Source organism: Homo sapiens, chromosome 1, assembly GCF_000001405.40.
Source record: "Homo sapiens chromosome 1, GRCh38.p14 Primary Assembly".
Taxonomy (NCBI): Eukaryota; Metazoa; Chordata; class Mammalia; order Primates; family Hominidae; genus Homo; species Homo sapiens.
This window is the reverse complement of record NC_000001.11, coordinates 74,394,999-74,415,176: the sequence shown is the minus strand read 5'-3', so window position 1 is coordinate 74,415,176 and position 20,178 is coordinate 74,394,999. Positions and strand designations below refer to the sequence as shown.

Here is a 20,178-nt window from a genome sequence, read left to right as displayed (position 1 = left end):
GAAAACTGTTTCAACCTGAGGGAGCGGCAAGTGCAAAGGCCTAAAATTGGGCATGCTTAGAGTGTTCAGGAACAAAATAGAGGCCCCGTCGTGGCTGGGATAGAGTAAACCAGAAAGAAAGAATTTGTCAGAGTTTTCACAGGGACCAGATGACATAGGGCCTTCTAGACAATTGTATTTTGACTTACATTGCAAATGATTTAGGAAGCCATTAGAAGGTTTTGAGTGTAGGAGTAACATAATCTGACTTTTATTTTTTTAATGACTTTTGTTACTTTTTTGAGGTTAGGACAAAGGGTTGGGAGGAGCCAGAATAGAAACAGAGAGATGAATCAGGAATTTACTATGATAGTCCAGGTGAGTGATTAAGAGTGATTTGGATCAAGATGGCAGTGATGCCGATAGTGAGAAACAGTCTAATTCTGCACATACATTCAAGAGAGTTGACAGAATTTCCTGAATGGTTAGATGTCTTTGGTACCTATTGATTTGCTTATCTTTCTTATAAGCTTTCAAGTTCAATGATGACAGAACAGATATATTTTTCAACGTAGATCCTTTGTACCAACATAGCATTTGCCCTAAAACAAGCAATTAATATTTTTAAACTAAGTTCAATTTATATATGCTAATATACAGGTACATCAAAATGGGCATTGCTGAATAGCAAGAGAAGCACAACAATTTAAAAGGCATCAACACTACTCAAAAATTTTCCATCCGTTGCTTGACACCAGTTCATGAGCAGAATCACAATCCCAAGTATAACTGGATGTAATAAAGGTTAAAATTAGTATGCCAGATAAATGGTCCTATGTTTATTTTATTGTTATAATTTCTTCATATGAAACTCCATGCATATTTTATTCTTTAAAATGAAACACTATTAGACTCTTACATCACAATGTCAAGGTATAAATTTTAGAGAAAATGCAGAATGATTTGTTATTAATCAAAATTGTAAACTAACCAGCATAGATTGTTATATATGGACAGAATATTTTCAAGTAAAAATTTCATAGGATTTTAAATCCGTGATTAATTCAGATGCCACAAATGCAACACTAATAAACACAATAGCTCCGTTATAAAATTGTCACTCTGTATGTATTTGATGATCCATTCATTTTTTTCAGTAGGTTTTAATGAGGTGAAAACTTGTAGAGTGCTCCTATTCTGCTATCATACAGCAAATAGCCATGGAAAATGATGTACTCGTTGTGAAATCCAATGCATGATATGTATCTTAAAGCATTCTAAATGCAATGATAAATATATCAACGTTAAATCATCTGCAATCACACCATTAAAAGAACTGATTGCAACTGATTTTACTGAAATCTATGTATTGTTCTAACTTGGCACATTGTTTTCTATTCTCTCTGAAAGACACTTGGAACATTATTAAGAAATAACATGAAATAACACAATAATTTGGATGCACACTAAAACACCAAGTCTAATGTAGAATACTACTATAATCGTAAATTTTCGGCGCTTGTATTCAAAGTATGCAACGTTCTTTATACAGAATTAAAGTGCCTCCAATCAACTTCTATGGAAGTTGCTACATTTTAGTTTTATTAAAGGTAATGGCACAGATACTGTGGATTAAATACATTTTATCAGAAGATATCAGTTAATTTCTTAAACATTAACATATCAGACTGTACAATATTCTTAAAATTTAGGAACAATATGTGGCTCTACCGTAACAACACCTTTGTAATTGATTACCACTATTTCAGAAACAATAGCTTTCTTAATATAGCTTGGGATTAAGAAGAGGTGTGAAATGTTCTTTGTAAAGTGCAATGTATTGTGTGACTGTATTGAGAAGATGCTAGAAAATTAAAATGAATAAATTATATTTAATGTTGTTCTATACTAATATCCAGGAATTTCTCATTTGTTTCAGACAAGCCTGAGTGTATCGACTTTTATTTCTATGCTTTTTAGAAGAGCCTGTCTTATTCCTTTCTCTGTTCCTACAGTGTCCAGCACATGGGAAACTTTTCATAAATGTTTAAATAAATGACTACTCTGTGAATGAAAGAATAAACACATAGATGACTGAATTAATTACCAATAATCAATTCATGAAGGTGGCATTGTTAACCTGACATCACTAATAACACCTGTTTTGTATTCTTTTCTACCCACAATGACTATCTTTCACTGAGTTACCTATATTTTCTTACCTGAACAAGAGAGAACTTATGGTGTACATTTAGAGAAGAGGGGATTAAGATTGAATGTGATGGGCTGGGCATGGTGGCTCATGCCTGCAATTTCAGCACTTTGGGAGGCCGAGGCAAACAGGTCACTTGAGGTCAGGAGTTCGACGCCAGCCTGGCTAGCATGGTGAAACCCATCTCTAATAAAAATACAAGAATTAGCCAGGCATGGTGGCATATGCCTGTAAATCCAGCTACTCAGGAGGCTGAGGGACGAGAATTGCTGGAACCCTGGAGGGGGAGGTTCCAGTGAACTGAGATCACGCCACTACACTCCAGCCTGGGAGACAGAGTGAGACTCCATCTCAAAAAGAAAAACAAGGATTGAATGTGATGAAAAAACAGTACAAAATTATGTGGCCTGATGTCATTGAGTCAACGTGAGACAATATTTAATAGGTATCTTAAAACTCCCAAATCTTTAGCAACCTCCTACTCTGGCTGCAGCCACGTCCTCCTCCTTACTCCCAGCTTGGGCTTCTCACATGGTAATAGCAGTATTCCAGAGGGCAAATTCCTATGAATGAGTATATATCAAGCCTCTGCTTGTGTCGTGTTTGCTGGTGTTTCTTTGCCTAAATTAAGTCACTTGTCTAAGTCCTCAGTCAGGGTAGGAACAGACTACAAAAGTGTGTGATAACCAGGAGGCATGATTCCTTGGAGTGGGGGAGGGGATTAATATAACAATCTACCAAAGAATAATGGAATTAATTACATAGTCTGGAAAAGTTACTCTGGATGCAAATCAGAGATTTAATTAGATGTGAGGAAGACAAATCAGAGCCCAGCTCCCCACTGTTATGACAAAGAGCCATCCAAATCTCCTTACTCAATAAGCAGGGCTCTTTTATCTAATCTGTGTTGCTACCTTCCTACCTTTTTTGTAGCTATGTTTAAATATAAAGAAGGATTCTTTATTGCTTTGATTTGCTTAACATTCCATGGATAATACTTTGAACTATGTATTGAACAATATGTAAACTATTTTATTTTATATTTCTTAATAACAAACAACTCTAATTTACCCAATTCTCTCAGCCTGGAATGCCCCTTCTCCCATGTCTACATAGCTATGTGTCTAAATTCTGTCCAGCCTTCAAGAGAAGATTCAAATTCACTGTCTCTATTTCTTCTTCCTCCTCAATGCTCACTCCTCCAACATTTAAATGTTAATATCTCCTTACCTTATCTATATCCCGTGTTATTTTCTTTGTTGTGAATTATTATTTGTTTCCATTCTTTATCTATCTTACTATCTTTTAGAAAGCAGCAATTGTTTCTTATTCATTTTTCTATCCCCTCAGTGTAAGACACATAGTAGGCAATCAAAAAATGTGAGTGAATAAATGCATTAGCAGAATTTCAGGCAGCAGTCAGGGGTCTTTAAGGCCATTATTTCTGGACAAGACCTGTGTGTCAGGGTGGGGGAGGGGGTCCTTCTTCAATGTACACCAAATAGTTTGTTACCTATTTGACCTATGTGTTAGACCCCTTTTGGCTGCATTTGTATATAAAAATTTCTAATTGAGGGTTATCTCAGGTTGATACTTACAAGAACCAACAAGTTTTACCCATGGTTATTATCCTCTCTTTTAGATAAAAAGGTTGTATCTCAGTGTATCCGCACTTAGCTGCATCCCAAATGGTTTATAATGATGATAATTAGCAGTTAAATAGAGCCTTACCTGTTCAGGGGCCTTACAGCCATGCTTATTATTTAATGAAATTGTCACACTATTATCTTTTATTGAGAAATCTTCAAATATAAAAATCTACAGTATATAGACATCATAAAAGCCTGGGAGCTGATAAAACCAGTGATGCTGTGCATTTTGCCAGCAACTTCAATTTTATGGTATAAAATTGAAATGTGGAAGATCATTAGAACTTTTTGAGCCCTGAAACTTAGCATGCAATGTATGCTTTAAGGTATGACTACACAAAGACAAAAAAAATTATTTCCACAATAATCCACCCTTTGTTAAAGAGAAAAACCTTTGCTTTTCAACAATCTCTTAATCACCACAGGACACAAGTGAACACTGAAAGAAATCAGTCTGTTTGAAACTCTTGGTGAGATCATTCAAAGCCAGTCTCAGGCTGTGATTCCTCATAAGGCACCACTGATTTTGAGAGCACCATAAGAGCATAGTTAGGCTTTCAAAGAATACATCTCAATTCAAGACCCCTACTGGCTTTTCACAGTTATCTCATCATCTTGGCTATTACATTAGTGTATCTTAGAAGGAATACCAGGCTTTAAAAAAATTCTCTTCTTAGATGCCAAGTTTCTATCTAGTCTTTCATGGTTTAGTTTTGCAGCTGATGAGCTCTTCGAGAAATATTAGACAAGGTCTGAAACCAGGTTAATGAAAGAATTGTAGTGTAACTTGAGGTAAGCAGTGAAACACAAATAAAACTAGATTATTTTATCCTTTTAGAAATTAATATCTTCTTATTTCTCAAGAGACACACATTTGTGTTATGAAAATTTGGAGATTCATATATTGAGGGAGCCTGGAGTAGTGGAAAGTGCACTGGATTAAGAATCAGAGTTAGAAAATGTTAGTTCTAATCTCAGTTTGCCATTAACTAGTTGCGTGATTTTGGAAAATTAATATAAGCTCTTTGGGACAGCTAAAGTTCCAGTTTTAAAACAAGAAATTAGGGATTAATAATACTTTAATTTTAAAATTTAAAATGGGATTCTATAAATGGCAACATATAATTAAAAAATAGAAACTTCCTTTATTGATGTGGTTAACAGCCTGGGTCCTCTTGTATATTTTATCAGAATTAATTTGTCATATAGAATTCCAGTATTATATTCATCACTCAATAATTATTTTAAAACAAAATTGTTCTTACATGTATGCTTTAAATTCTTGCAGCTTAACTATCTTTTTGTTTTAGCATATTTGGCAGAGATCAGGGGTTAAACTATTTCCTTAAGTCCCATGTTTCTTACAGATTCTAAGAGTAATCACTGAATCAGTTGGAATCTTGGTGCAACCTCACTCATTGACTTTCATAGTAAAGTCACTAACTTATCCAATTGTCAATAAAAGAATAATAATAAAAAATATAAAATCCCTACACCCCACAATTTGAGATGTGCACAAATGTAATAATAAATATAAAAGAAAAGGTGGGCGTGGTGGCTCACGCCTGTAATCCCTGCACTTTGGGTGGCCAAGGTGGGTGGATCACTTGAGGTCAGGAGTTCGAGACCAGCCTGGCCAACAAGGTGAAAACTCATCTCCACTAAAAATACAAAAAATTAGCCAGGTGTGTCGCAGACACCTGTAATCCTAGCTACTCGGGAGGTTGAGGCAGGAGAATCACTTGAACCCAGGAGGCAGAGGTTGCAGTGAGCCGAGATGGTGCCACTGCACTCCAGCCTGGGTGACAGAGTGAGACCCCATCTCAAAAAAAAAAAAAAAAAAAGAAACAAATAGAAAATAAAATAGTTTACATATTGTAGAATACACAGTTCAAAGTATTATGCATGGAATCTTAAGCAAATCAAAGCAATAAAGAACGCTTCTTTATATTTAAACATAACCTCAAAAAAAGGTAGCAAGGTAGTAACACAGATTAGATAAAAGAGCACTGCTTATTGAGTAAGGAGATTTGGATGGCTCTTTGTCATAACAGCGGGGAGTTTGGGCTCTGTCTTTATTTAGTCAGACTTAGGTTTGAATACTGGGTTCTGGACTTCCTAGTTACATGACCTTGGGCAATTAATATAACTTCTCTTAACCTCAGTGTCCTCAAGTGCAAATCAGTGATAAATGTCTTTTCTATCTTATAGGGATGTTGAGAAGATCAAATAAATAATGAATAGAAAAGTATTTATAAATTGCAAAGTGCCATGACAATGTAATTTTATTTGATAGAATAGTTAATTCTGGTACCTTTAAGAAGACTCTATTTTTTTTTTTTTTGTTATATGGAGGCATTAGATGAGTGTCATCTTTCTTGAAGTCTTCTACATTTATACATAATGAAGACAAAGCTTTTTCTAATTAAGGCATATGTGTGATGAGTTTAAATAGGTTTTCTACAAAATAGTACAACAAAATGTCTTATACAGACCTACGTTATGAAATTATCTACTTAAATGTTAAACTATAATCTTAGTCTGAAGGATTCTGACAATACATTACCATGTTGCATTTGGATTTGAAGCAGGGACTTTTGCTTTTTAAAAATCCAGGTACACTAAATAAAGAAGGATTTAACTTTCTAGGCCTATGACTTGTGACTAACTTGAGTAACTGATGATCAACAGGGAACCCAGAATTAGAATGTCTATCTTTTCTGAACTTGATTTGTGGGCAGATGAAATGTATCACACAGACTTAGATTTCTTGGAAAGAATGAATAACTGGGGAAATCAGAACACAAGCCTGACAAAAACAAGAAAGAGAGAACTGAGTGCAGGAACCACATTGTTTAGCTATCTGTTATACATTGGGCAATGTGGAAGTTATTTTGGAGATAAATCTTCATTTATTATTCACTGGAATGCTATGAAGCCAGCAATATTAACTTCAGTTTTTATAGAAGAAAGCAAGAGTGCACAAAAGGGAATGAGCTGATTTAGTCCATGGGCTAACAGGTGGTATATGTAAATGAGTTTCAGTGATCACTAAGGTCTTTTTGAAAGCCAGCACTTCATAAGGAAGCCTATCCCTACTTGAAAATTGTCATCGGTTTGGCATTCAATGTCCTACCCATGCACTGTATTTTGTCGTGGAAACAAGGTAGATTGTTTTATGTGACATAAGGGTGCTCACATCTAGCTATTAAGTATGTGGTGATATTTAGAGAAAAGCAACTTGAAGTGTTTGAGAAGGGTTCTCCAGGAGTCTTGAGATTTCTTAGGGAAAGATTGTTACTGTATGGGAGTGGTAGTGGTGTTATAAGCAGTGACCACAATAGTAGGTCAAATTCATGAGTGTGATCTATGAGGACGAGTGACATTATGGAACTTTGAAAGGAAAAATTGGTGATAACCATGGGCATATACCTGTAGGGTCTGCAAAAGGAGCAGGTGATTTTCATAATGCTAAAGTTTTATATTATTATCTAGGCATCATAAGTGGTATCCCCTTACATCACTTTGTAGAAGATCTAGACCATCTTCTTTGGCTGGGACCTAGAAAAAGGTTCTAAATTGTACCATTCTGTACAAATAGCACAGAAAGTTGATGTAGTTTAGAGACCAGGTATCTCCTCTTCACTTAAAGTCAAGTATAAGATCAGCAGCTGTCAGGCATTATCTTCACTTCAAAATGAAGGAAATATATAAGTACTTCAAAATGGAGAAGAAGTGTAAATCTGAAGATGACAGAAAGAGTCAGACCAAATTCCACTCAAATATGTATTTTCAGAAAAACAATACAACAAAATCTATGACTGTGCCAAATGCAAATCTTTAATCATAGGACCTTAAAAATTATTTCCTGAATAAAAAAACGTTTGTATAATTTAATGCTAATTTAATTTTCTATTGATAACTTCTATACTATTTCCTTTACACTTAGGCATCAGAATCACATTTCCTTGTATCTGATATGGCAGAAATCCCTGCTGCATGGCAGAGTAGCAAAACAACCAAGATAAAAGATTTTATACAATTATATCTTCCGAGGAGTTCTGAGTTAATAGCATTATTTCTCAATCTTAGAAGCCCCTGGTAGACTTCCTAGTATATATTAACCACACTATCATTAGCTGAATATTTTTTCATTTATTTTAAGTGCAGAGGAGATAGCAAAAATTTTAGCAGAATAATCTTCACTGATTGTACTATTAACTTTGGCTTTGTTGAACATCATGCCTTCAAATATACATGTTAATCCTGTGTATTCATTAGCTTAAAAATAGCTCAAATTGACAACAGATTTATTGTTGGAAGGCTTGGATGGGAATGCATTTTCACTGATACCAAAGACACTAACTTTGACAAATGGAGTGCCAGAAGAGGATAAGGAAGAAACGAGGCAAAGAGCACATCTTTAAATCATTTGCTTGATGTAGGACATTTCTGGAGGTTCTTTATGTCATTTTGGAACAGCAGCGGAGACATTCTGCAGTGATAATAGTAAATGGCATAGGCCATTCACACTTGACTGTGGTTTCTGTTTTCTTAGTAGATGTAAAGCCTTAATAGGAACTGTGGTAGGCAGGATGGCCACTCAAAGATGTGTACACTGTAATCCCTAGAACCTATAAATGTGTTAAACTGTACATGGCAAAAATAACTTTGCATAGGTAACTCAGGTTACAGGCCTTAAAATAAGGAGATTATTGTGAAATATCATGGTAGTCCCAATCTAATCACCAGAGGCCTTAAAAACATAGAACTTTCTGGAGCTGAAGGCAGAAGAGACACAGTAAAGTATGTTAGGGAGATTTAAAGTGTGAGACAGATTCAAAATGTCTTGTTGACTGTAAAATGCAGGGGCCCACATGCAAGGATTGCAACCTCTAGAGCAGGGGTGCCCAATTTTTTGGCTTCCCTGGGCCACACTGGAAGAAGAATTGTCTTGGGCCACATATAAAATACACTAACACTAATGATAGCTGATGAGCTAACAACAACAAAAAATAACAAAAAACTCGTAATGTTTTAAGAAAGTTTACACATTTTTGTTGGGCCACATTCAAAGCCATTCTGAGCCACACACAGCCTGTGGGCTGTGGGGTGGACAAGCTTACTCTAGAGGATAAGGAAAGCCTTCAGCTGATAGCCAGAAAGGAAACAGGGACTTCAGTCCTACAACCACAAGAACTGTTTCTGCCAACAACCTGAATAGTTCAGAAGTGGGTTCTTTCCAGCAAGAGCCTCCCAATAGGAGATCAACTGACCCATCTCTCAATTTTGGCCTTGTAAAACCCAGAGCAAATAAATTAGCCCAGGCTTTTTAACCTATAGAGCTGTGAGATGATAAATGTATGTTGCTTTAATGCACTAAATTTGTGGTTATTTGTTATACCAGCAAGGAAAACCTAATACGTGAATATAACTAAATGTGAACATGCTTATAGTAAGCAAAAGTCCAATGTTCACATGTAAAAGTTTCAGATTAGTATTCAACCGACTTTTTGAAAATCACAAGAGAATAATAACACCTCAGTTGGCTTATTCTAACATCACTAAAAGCTGTTTACAGGGAGCCCAGTAGTTGATCATAGGAAATCATGTTTATTTCTTTCTATTTCTAGAACATTTTCTCTAATCCTCATTTTTTCCCCCATCTAACTAGCCTCTTTAATCTTTCCTCCTGATGTGCCAGTTGGTTCTGTCATAAAGACAGTGAGATAATCCTTGGTGCTTTTCTCTGTGTCATGAAGTCTTTTAAGTGCTATTTTGTAAACAGTTTTAAAAACCTCTCTAGTTCTCCGCATATCAGTTTTCACTACTTTGGTTTATTCTCATTATCATTCACTTAGATCATTGCTTATCACCTAAGACTAGTTTATTTACCACTTTTCAATTCTAAAAATGTAAAGAGGGTCATATTATTTACCTGCTTAAAATTAATGACTCCTCATAGTTCCAAAACTCATTTGCTTGGTTTAAACCACCCTGCGTATTTTGGCACATACTTCAGCCTCATGGTTTTTTTAGACTCATATCTATATTCTTTGATCAATCACACTGAGATACCTAAGCTCTCCACAACTTTTTGTATATGCTCCCCCGTCTCTAATGCCTTGTCTTTACTCATCACCTGAATAATCCAACTGGCACCTAAGAGCTAAACTTAGCCACCATCTCTTTCTAGAAGCCTTCAGTACTATCTTCCAGGCAGGGTTAGAGCTCTCATCTCTGTGTTTCTGTAGATGCCAATGCTTAACACTGTCATAAAACACTGATTTTGTTGACATTGTCAGTTCACTCAATGGTCTTTCTTTTTTTAAACTGTAAACTTCTTAAAAATAATATTTTTAAATCTTATATAGTCAACGACTGCCACATACTAGGCATTAAGTAATATGTGTTGAATGATGAAATTAATATGAATAAATGAAGCAACCAATCATCAAATCAGTTAACAGAGCTCTGGTTGCCCCTTAGGGCTAGGAGAAGCGGAATCATAACCAGGAGTTTACTTAGCAGGATTATAGTGGTCTATAAACATAAATAAGAATCAGAGCCACAATTATAGGAGATTCATAAAGAGGATGAAGCATAGAGAAGTGAAATTAGGTAAAATGAGTCCATAGTCTGGGAGATCAGCATAGGCCAGAGGTTCTCAAAGTGTGGTTCCCAAATCAGCAGCATTAGTCTCACCTGGGAACTTGTTAGCAATACAATATTTTGGCCCCAACTAATACGTACTGAATCAGAAACTCAGGAGTGAAGTCCAGAAATCAGTGCTTTAACAATCTGTCCAGATGATTCTGATGTATGCTGAAGTGTGAGAACTACTGTCATAGGCCAAGAGAATTAGACGGGTGACTTAGATTTTAGCAAGCACAGTCAAATATTTAAGATATCAAGTTCTTGGGAGGAAGGAGACAAGTTAAGAGAAACTGGGTATGAAAAGTTAAGCTGTCAAACCTGATGAAATTAAACGGGCAAGAAGAGATAGAAGGGATAGAGCAATAGATAGAGAAACAAAAAACAACTCATACAGCAATATTGAGCCAATATTTCCTAAGGTTGTGGGTCTTGATAGGTTTGGGGATGGGGAAGATATAAATTCTGATTTACCCTTGGTGGTGATGAAAAGGATGGATGTAATAATTCATATTTAATGAAAGCTTTCTAGGTGACTCAGATACACATTACCTCTTGTTCTTAGGTGAGAGGCATTTTCTTCTTACAATCTATATCCAAATCTCCTGACTTTTTATGTATGAAGTAGTCAATCCAGCTCAAATTAAAGGACATTGGGGTGGGCAGTGGGGTCCAGGTTCTTAACTAACACACATTACTAAATAGACAACACATAAAAAGGACCGAAGAAATTTCAATTATTTACTCTAATGGTGGTAATAAGAACAGGATGCAGGCAAAATGAAGCATAAGAAGTAAAATTTAAAAACAAATACTCAGCTCTCTCTTCATTATCCATGGTAATGTGATTAGCATGGACTTCAGCCAAGTCTTTCAACTATGTTTCTCATTAACTATGTACAAGAATTCTTAACAAGGAGCAGAAGTTCCATGAGTTTGCATACATGATGCCAAAGATTCATATAAGAATGAAACTTCAGTCAATTATCTAGGTGTGTCCCCAAATACAAATATTTAGCTTATGTAAACAAAGCCACTGGTTCATTTTCATTTTTCATGTATATATTTTGGTAGCTACAGCCAGTATAGTATTGTTTTTGCCCCTCTGATTACTTGTTATGGGTTTGAATCTAATGTTAATAGTAGACAATAATAATAAATCAAATGTCTATTGAACCCCACTTTATGTTCAATGATGTCTAATTTAATTAGTATTGACATACTGAAAGTTTGGCAGTAACACGGGAGAGAACAAATGTTACTTCAGAACTAGAAAATTTGGAACAAAATATAACTCTATTTTATGAACCTCAAGCTTGATGTTTATAAGTTAAAATCACTTAAAGAGGATGTACCGTGAGATTTTTACTATTGATAATAACAGATGAAAACTACTTCTGAGAGGAACTGTATAAAATATTTTTTGAAGGTTCGAAAACAGCTAAATACAGTGAAGAATTAAGGGGCTATGATCCAGAATGAGAATGAAACCAGGAGATGTGACTCCAGAATTATGGGTCACTTTTTCTCTTTGGAAATCTTCCTATTGCATTCCTAAATAAAATACCCAGAAGCACATAGATAGAACACACCAAGAGACATGTAAAAAATGCTGAGAGTAGCATATTCTTATTACAGAAATAGTTTAAATATCTATCATCATTAGAATGAAAAAATAATGATGGAATTTCATATTATGAATATGAGTGGAATACTACAGAGTTGTTAAAATTCCATTGGAAGAAGAATTGTCTTGGGCCACACATAAAATACACTAACACTAATGATAGCTGATGAGCTAAAAAAAAATAAAAACTCATAATGTTTTAAGAAAGTTTACACATTTGTGTTAGGCCACATTCAAAGCAAAGCTGTCCTGGGCCACATGTAGCCTGTGGGCTGTGGGGTGGACAAGCTTACTCTAGAAGATAAGGGAAGCCTCCAGCTGATAGCCAGAAGGGAAACAGGGACTTCAGTCCTACAACCACAAGAACTGTTTCTGCCAGCAACCTGAATAGTTCAGAAGTGGGTTAAAATGTTAAAATTGAAGACTCTACCAAAAAAGTTTAACAAAATAAACCAGATATGAAAATTGTCTATGAATCTACATATATAGAGTTAAAAATAGGCAAGTCTAATCCATGGAATCACATATCAGTATTGGGGAAGGGGTAATAATTACACATTCGAGTTTTGATTCAACTTGCCATGGTTCAAGACTTCCGTGTAATTCCAGAATAGGAGAAAAATGAGTTTTCTCCAAATGGTCCAAACCAGAAACACATTTTTTTCAGTGGGTTTTGGAGGTAGATCCACAGCTAATAATATCTTACTATTCCTTGCTTTGTCATAGTTCTCTCTACATAACTATTCCTGAGGAACTTGTAAAAGAAGAGCAGTATAATCACCATGAAAGCAGGCATTAGGCTTCCTGGGTTGTCTACTGAAATAACTTCTTACTACCGCCCCATTCCATCCTTTTCAAAAGTCACATAATTACTGCAAGAGTTGATTCAAGAAGTCAGATCACTTGACCCCGTTGTGTTTTTGTCTGTCTACACTTGGATAATTCTTTATGGTGGAACAAAATTTAGCTATTATAAAATGAAGAAATAAACTAAAAAACTCTAAAGGATGAGAACCAGATTATTCCAACTTAAGTTTATTATTCAATATTCAAAATATATATATATAAAATTTAACTTTGTATCATTTCCATCAATACCTTTTAGGATGGCAGAAGTAAGCATACACCTGAAATTGCATTCTTCCCTGTTAAAGTAATGAGCTCCCCTCCAGATGCAAATACTATGGGTGATCCAGATCCTAGAGGTAATGGCAGACCTTTGCTTGAAGAATTAAATATTGAAACATAAAATAAGAAGAGATTTGAATTAATTACATAGCAATTTTATGGTTTGAATTTACATGGCAAAGACGAATCTGATCATATTTGACATCTTATTTCTTCTGTTATTTTCTCTGTGTTAAGCTGTTATTATCTCTCTTAACCTCCTAATGGGAGAATTATATTTGAGCAATTGCCTCTCCAGCAACATTTGTGAAAATGTTTAGTACTCTAAAAGTACTTCCCTCTGTAGCTCATTAAATATTCTTTTCTAACTTGTTCAAATGGAGTATGGATTATTTAGCTTCCCAATAACTGAACAGTAGAATTTACCAAACAATGGCAAGCTATTTATATATTTTCTTTTTTGTTACAAAATGCAGACAGGTACATGCCTTCTCACTGATAGTGTTATTAAAGATTCAATACCACTTGTAAATAACAATGGTCTGAATTATACAGTAAAGTATTGAAACCAATAAATAAAAAGTTTGAAAAACATTTTTCTTCCCACTGTGAATGCATTAAAAAAAGCTTTAGAACATTGCAAAGAACTGTACAAAGTACCAGAATTGCATGACCTAGAAAATCAACCATATATGGCATTTGATGTGTCATATGCATGCACACATATGGGCTTGAATGATTTATAGGAAGATATCTATGTTTCTACGAAAGCTTTTCTATAGGTATAGAGGCTACCCTCACTTACTTAATGCCTTTGCCAGTACAGAACAACTACCTAAAAATTGCCTTTAGTATTAGGCTCATTGTCAACTTTGAAAAGTAAGAAAGTGAATATTGAATTAAAGACTTTAAAACTTTCCAATATTCTTGACATCCCTTTTCCAAGTACTACCAAGGTCAACTTTCTCTTAGACTTAAAATTATTTGGTGGCCATGTGGATTCTCAGGAATCTTATGGAATGCCAGGGTGAATGGAATGGCCAATTGAACTAAGGCACAAATCCCAGTCCAATTGAATGGTAGTAGCTCATGGAGGTTCCTCTTTCCACAATACCACCAGACATCAGCCTGGGGTACATGAAGAGTCAAGTAGTTGCCTTTGTTTGACTCACCAGTAATGTTTAGGATGTGGGTATAAGTTGAGAGTTCTCTCATGAGCTTATTGAACTCTGCCCCCTCCCTAGAGAAGCAAGAGGAGTGGTTCATATTTCCTATGGAGAAGGAGGGAATTGCTGTAGGGTCTGATTTCTGCAAGGTGGGAAAGAGCAATGATAGACTTTTGCAAGTCTCATTTCCCCATGCATCCCTGTCCTAGTATAGAGCCAACATGCAGTGCATTTGGTTGCGATTGATATACTATCCTAGGGGAAATGGAACCACCTGTGCCTCAGGCCGCCCAGGAGATCATGCATAACAGTTGCTCTCATTAAGAGCTAGTACCGAAAATTTGGACCATTCAACCTAGGTATTTACATCCCCATATCCAGTCTAAATTTGTAAAGTCAGCCTCAAGTCAGTTACCTTAATTATTTCTACTCTCTTAGGGTCATTGTATGGTGGATTAAAGGAAGTAGTGGGATCGGTAGTTATAGTAATCCTAGGTGGGTTTGGGTGGAGTTGGTGACTAGCCTAAAAGCTAACCATCCCATGGGATCCCTTCCTCAGATGTCTATTCCTAATCCATACCTCCAAGGTTCCTGGTCTAGAGTAGCTGGATTGTTTATGGTAATTAATATAGGATTGCATTATAAATTTCTACAGTTAGGTGGCATAGGGCCCTTATACAAATGTATTTTATTCTTTAAGGGTTTGTTTTTGGAAGAATGGCTCACCCAGCCTCAAAACTGGGTGGTCCACTAGACCTCATTCCAGCCAGCACAGGGCTTTCCCCAATAGCGACCTGTTTCAGGACATAGATATTTGTTTGCTTGTGACATCTGCCTTTGGTTCCCTAAATTCCCACAATGTAAGACTTGGTAGACATCAAATTTTATGGTCTGAGGGGTGAAGGTTCTAGTTATGTTGACTATTAGTTTGATTGGATATTCTTTTTCTATTGTGCTCCATCCAATAATTGTGAACCCTCTCACTCTTGGTAGTAGAATTAATCCTAACCACATCCACCCCCAATAACAGAGCCTGCCCATAGCTTCCTTCTGGGTTTTCCTTAGGGTTAGCTTTAAGGGTTCCTTAGGTGATCTATACACTTCCCATTCATCCTTTTCCCTTCCATCTGGGGATTCTTTTACCAGTCTCTTGACTCGAGTGTAATGTGTCCACCGCCCGCCCCCCGGCCCCACCCAGCTGTTCATAAGGCTGTCTCAGTGATCAGGAGCACTTGAAAGGGACCTTCCCAGCATGGGTGGAGCTTGTCTTCTTTTTGAGTCTTAATTAACACTGAGTCACCAGGCTGAAAGTGGTGAACCATGAACTCAAGAGGTGGGGTTTGAGTCAGAAGTCCTTTCAACCTAAGGAATGACAGTGTGGAGGATAGGTCCAGTATATAATTTCTTAAAAATTGGTCTTTGGTTTCCACACTAGGAAGGTCAGTAGTCCTACCTAAATACGGGAGTTCACATAATAACTTGTAAGGGGAAAATTCCAAGTCTTTCCTTGGGGTTGTCCTAATCCTAAGGAGTGCTATTGGGAGACATTTGGTCCAAGGCATTTTAGTTTTGCTTTTGGGTGTTTTTTTTTTTTTTTTTTTTTTTAATGGGTTTTGCTCTTGTTGCCCAGGCTCGAGTGCAATGGCATGATCTGGGCGGCTCACTGCAACGTCCACCTCCCGGGTTCAAGCGATTCTCCTGCCTAAGACTCCTGAGTAGCTGGGATTACAGGCGCCCGCCACCATGCCTGGCTAATTTTTGTATTTTCAGTAGAGATGGGGTTTCAACCATGTTGGCCAGGCTGGTCTCAAACTCCTGAGTTTGATCCACCCGCCTTGGCCTCCTAAAGTGCTGGGATTACAGGGGTGAGCCACCATACTCAGCCTTTAGTTTCTAAGATTAGTTTAGTAGTATGCTTTTTGAGAGTTTGATTCATTTTCTTGACCTTTCCAGAAGAGGGGAGATAACAAGGGGTGTGGTAATCCCATCTAATATGTATACCTTCCATAATTCCTCTTAGCACCCTCAAGATAAAGTGGCTCCCATCGTCTGAATCAATATTTTCTATCAGGCCAAATCTGGGTATAATTTGTTCTAAAATTATTTTGACCACATTCCCGGCAGTGGCAGTTGGGAGGGGGAAGGCCTCCACCCAGCCTGAGAGGTGGTCTACCATTACCAGTAGATACTTTAGTCTCCCTATTTTGGGCATTTCTGTAAAATCTACTTGAATGCTTTGAAATGGCCTTAACCCAAGAGGTCTCCCTCTGGTAGTCTGTTTTCTAACTACCTTTTTGTTTATCGTCTGGCAGGTCGCACAACCCCCACACACTTATTTAGCAAGGGTATAAATCCCTATACACACATAATTCTTGGTATTGCATCACACGTGGCCTGGGGACCCCAATAACTTCTCCTATGCAGTTTGGACATCAGTTCTCTCATTATGGGTTTGCTTACTTCTCTTCCATCAAGGAGCATCCACCTCCCATCCTCAGTTTGGGTGGCCTGTATCTTGCTCAGCTCTTCCTCCTTTTTAGAAAATTAGGGTCTGAATACCATCCTAGGAATATCTGGGATTAGGCTAAACAGTTTAACTTCTTCCTCCAGGGAGGCTTGCTTAGCAGCTTTATCCCCACACCTGTTTCCTACAGCATCTATAGTGTTTCCTTTCTGATGGCCATTTACATGAACTGTGGTTACCTCTGCTGGAAGCAGGAGGCTTTCTAAAACGTTTTTAACCAGTTCTCCATGTATTAATTTTTTCCCCCTGCTATTTATTAGGCCCTGCTCTGTCCAGATCTTTCCAAAGGTGTGTAGCACTCCATAGGGAATATTTGGAATCACTATATATAGCGCCTTCTTGGCCTTCTAGGAGCTTTAGGGCCTACATAATTCAGAGGTTTGGTCTGACTAGTTATTGGGTAATCTACCTTTTTCACATAAAGATTGTTTGTTTCCATCAATGACAGCATAGCCATTGTGTTATGCTATCATAACATATGATATGCTGCATATCACTTGGGATGACCCATCCACAAACAGACTCATCCCATCATGTAGTGGAGTTTCTTTAAGGTTTGCTCTAAGGTGAGTTTGACACTCTGATATCTAAACAGTTATGGTTTGATGCCTCCTCATTTTCCTCTCCTTTTCATAAGAAACTGGCTGAATTCAAGCAAGTATCTATTGTTAAGACAAATTATCTTTTTATAATAATATGGCTTCATATTTTAAAATTTGGGAACCAGTCAAGCATCTTCCAGCTCTTTGATTTAATATATTCCTGACCTAACGTAGGGTGCTCACTACCAGGGCCCTGATGAAGGTCAGCTTTCTACTCTCCTCTACGAGCAGGGCCGTGGCAGCTACTGCTTACTTGTACTTTTGTCTCTTTGCCTCCTGTCATTTATTGCCATTCTCTCTCTTTCTCTTTCTTCCTCTTGTACTCTTCCTTTTACATTATCTCTCTCTCTCCAGTCTCACCTTCTGTGTATCTCTTTAATTTCTGTCTTTTTCAGTCTTTCTCTCACTCATTTTCTTCTTCTGTCTCTCTCTCTGTCATCATGTTTCCTTTCTCCCTCATACTCGGTTTCTTCCTCTTTCTCTCTCTGTGCCTGAGCCGAGCTGTGGTGTGCCCTGGCTCCCCCGTGTCATTTCAGCAGCAGCTTTCATCAACAACTTTCAGCAGTCAGCTCCCACACACAGCTGCATGGCTGGCTTTCCCCTGCCTTCAGGGTCAGCAGCTTAACACTTTCTCTCCTTACAAAAACCTTCTGAGCTTCCCTCAGTAATTCCTCAATCGTTTTCTCATTCCATCCATCAGTCTTTTGCAGCTTCTTAGTAATATCAGGCTAGCTTTTAGTCACAAAATTAACCTCTAAGAGGCCTTGCCCTACTGGGTCCTCTGGATCTAATCCTGAATATTTTCTCATTTGATCCCTGAGCCTCTGCAGAAGCAGGAGGAATCTCCTCTTTTTCTTGTTGGTTCTCAAATGCTTTTGGGACATTCTGTGCCCTAGGAGTGGACTCTAATCCCTCTAATTATTAGCTCCCTAAGGACTTGTATTTGAACCCATTTCCTGGGGTCATTATTATCCCATCCGGGATGTGCATTTGGGAATTTCTGCTCAGCTGGCAGGACTCCTTGCCCGGGCGGATGCTGTCTCTCCCAAATGGTCATGGCTGTCCTTCTAATCATTCCCCTCTTCCCCAGTAAACAGAATATTCATGATTGACATTATCTCAGCCCAAGTATAAAAATTGGGTCCTAACAATTAATCTAGCTGCTCTGATAAACCGAGGTGATCTTCCAAGAGTGGCCTCATTCTCTTTTTAAAATTCCTAACCTCAGTACTTTTTAGAAGTGCACTCACAAATCCAACTTCTCCCTGTCCCACAGGGACTTCTCTAAGAGGGTACCTGTTAGACATCTGCTGTTTAGAAGGAACGGGGAAATTCTCAATGTCTCTCTTACATTTTTCTAATTCTTTCCTCAAGTTTGGATAAGGGTTTAAAGGAGCATTGGGTTTAGCTCCTTCATGACCCCCAGATTACTCTTACTCTGGCCTTCCTGCTGCCCTCTGATCTCCCTGTCCTCTACTTTGTGAGATGTTTGAGATGGGGCAAGCATGTTAGGGGATCCCAGAGCTTTTCATTGAGAGAAGGCTATTTATTACGCTCTTTTTCTTCCTCTTTAAGGGGGAGCATGAGGGTTAATTCACTAATCCAACAAAGAGCATAACCCATCTCCTCTTGTGAGGATGGGGTTTTATTATTCACATAAAGAATTAAAGCTTGGCACACTCAATCCTCATCTGAGCCAAACTTAGGCCAAGAGCCCAAAGGCTGATGAATGGGCTCTTTGGGCCAGATAAAACAGCAATATTTTATCATCTTCTGCTTTTCCCTCTGGGGGAATTTCAGAGGGAGTCTCTTCAGTTCCCTCTTTCCTCTGTTCCCTAGGCCTAGAATTCTTATTTCACATTTTCAGTTAGTCTCTGTGTCTGAGCTTTTCCCTGTGTACTCAGCCCCCGCACTGGAGGTTTCCTGCATGCCCTGAGAATCACTTCATCTGTCTCCAGCTGTTTCCCTTGTGGGAGGACATAACCACGGATTGGGACTCTGCACTCGCTTCGTATCTTAGATACATCTCAGTCACACACACTCAACCTCTGAAAATGCTGAACCACCAAGGCAGTACACATAGTCCAGTTTTCCTACCTTGGCTCAAACACGAGGTTGCCCAGTTGCTGGGGTGCCAGCTTTTCTCCCTGTGTCACTTTCATCATCTCCTGAATAACAGTCTCAGGTTTGTCTATGGGTTCTGCAGGGAGACAAGACACTTGGGCAGAGCAGGCCACCTAAATCAGGTGGGATGCATCTCCCCTCTCGGCTGGAGTCCCACTCCATGCAGGCAGAGTTCCCCATATAGGCCACCAGGTCCTGAGAAATAAACTCACCTGTCCAAACCCAAAGAAGGGACTCAGAGACCTTGAGAACACTGAAAGTGAGACTTTTAATGATGGTCTTGCAAGATCAGGTGTCTGATGCTCAGGCACCCCCAGCATGGTTACAACAAGCAATTTATCCCCTAAATTGCTTGTAGTAGTCCCTGGTTCCTCATAGGCTGGGTACTATGGGGGTCACAGTCTTCCCGGATGTCACCTATCAGTTGTTGTGTAGGGGCTTTAAGTGTTTTCTCTTTTTTTTTTTTTTGAGATGGAGTCTTGCTCTGTCGCCCAGGCTGGAGTGCAGTGGCGC

The 20,178-nt window shown here is 37.8% G+C and overlaps 2 protein-coding genes across 3 annotated transcripts in view, besides 1 other annotated feature; both read right to left on the bottom strand.

The window, feature by feature from the left end:
- The window catches only part of FPGT-TNNI3K (FPGT-TNNI3K readthrough), a 346,187-nt gene that overhangs the window by 129,252 nt on the left and 196,757 nt on the right, over positions 1-20,178 (bottom strand). The gene's annotated exons all lie outside the window — the stretch shown is intronic.
- The window catches only part of TNNI3K (TNNI3 interacting kinase), a 309,042-nt gene that overhangs the window by 129,252 nt on the left and 159,612 nt on the right, over positions 1-20,178 (bottom strand). The window lies entirely within an intron of this gene.
- Positions 2,618-2,912: a silencer, noted in NCBI's record as "tiled region #9784; HepG2 Repressive non-DNase unmatched - State 24:Quies". NCBI's record gives its function as "represses a minimal TATA promoter and a strong SV40 promoter by Sharpr-MPRA in HepG2 cells {active_cell/tissue: HepG2}" and the evidence as "EXISTENCE:reporter gene assay evidence [ECO:0000049][PMID:27701403]".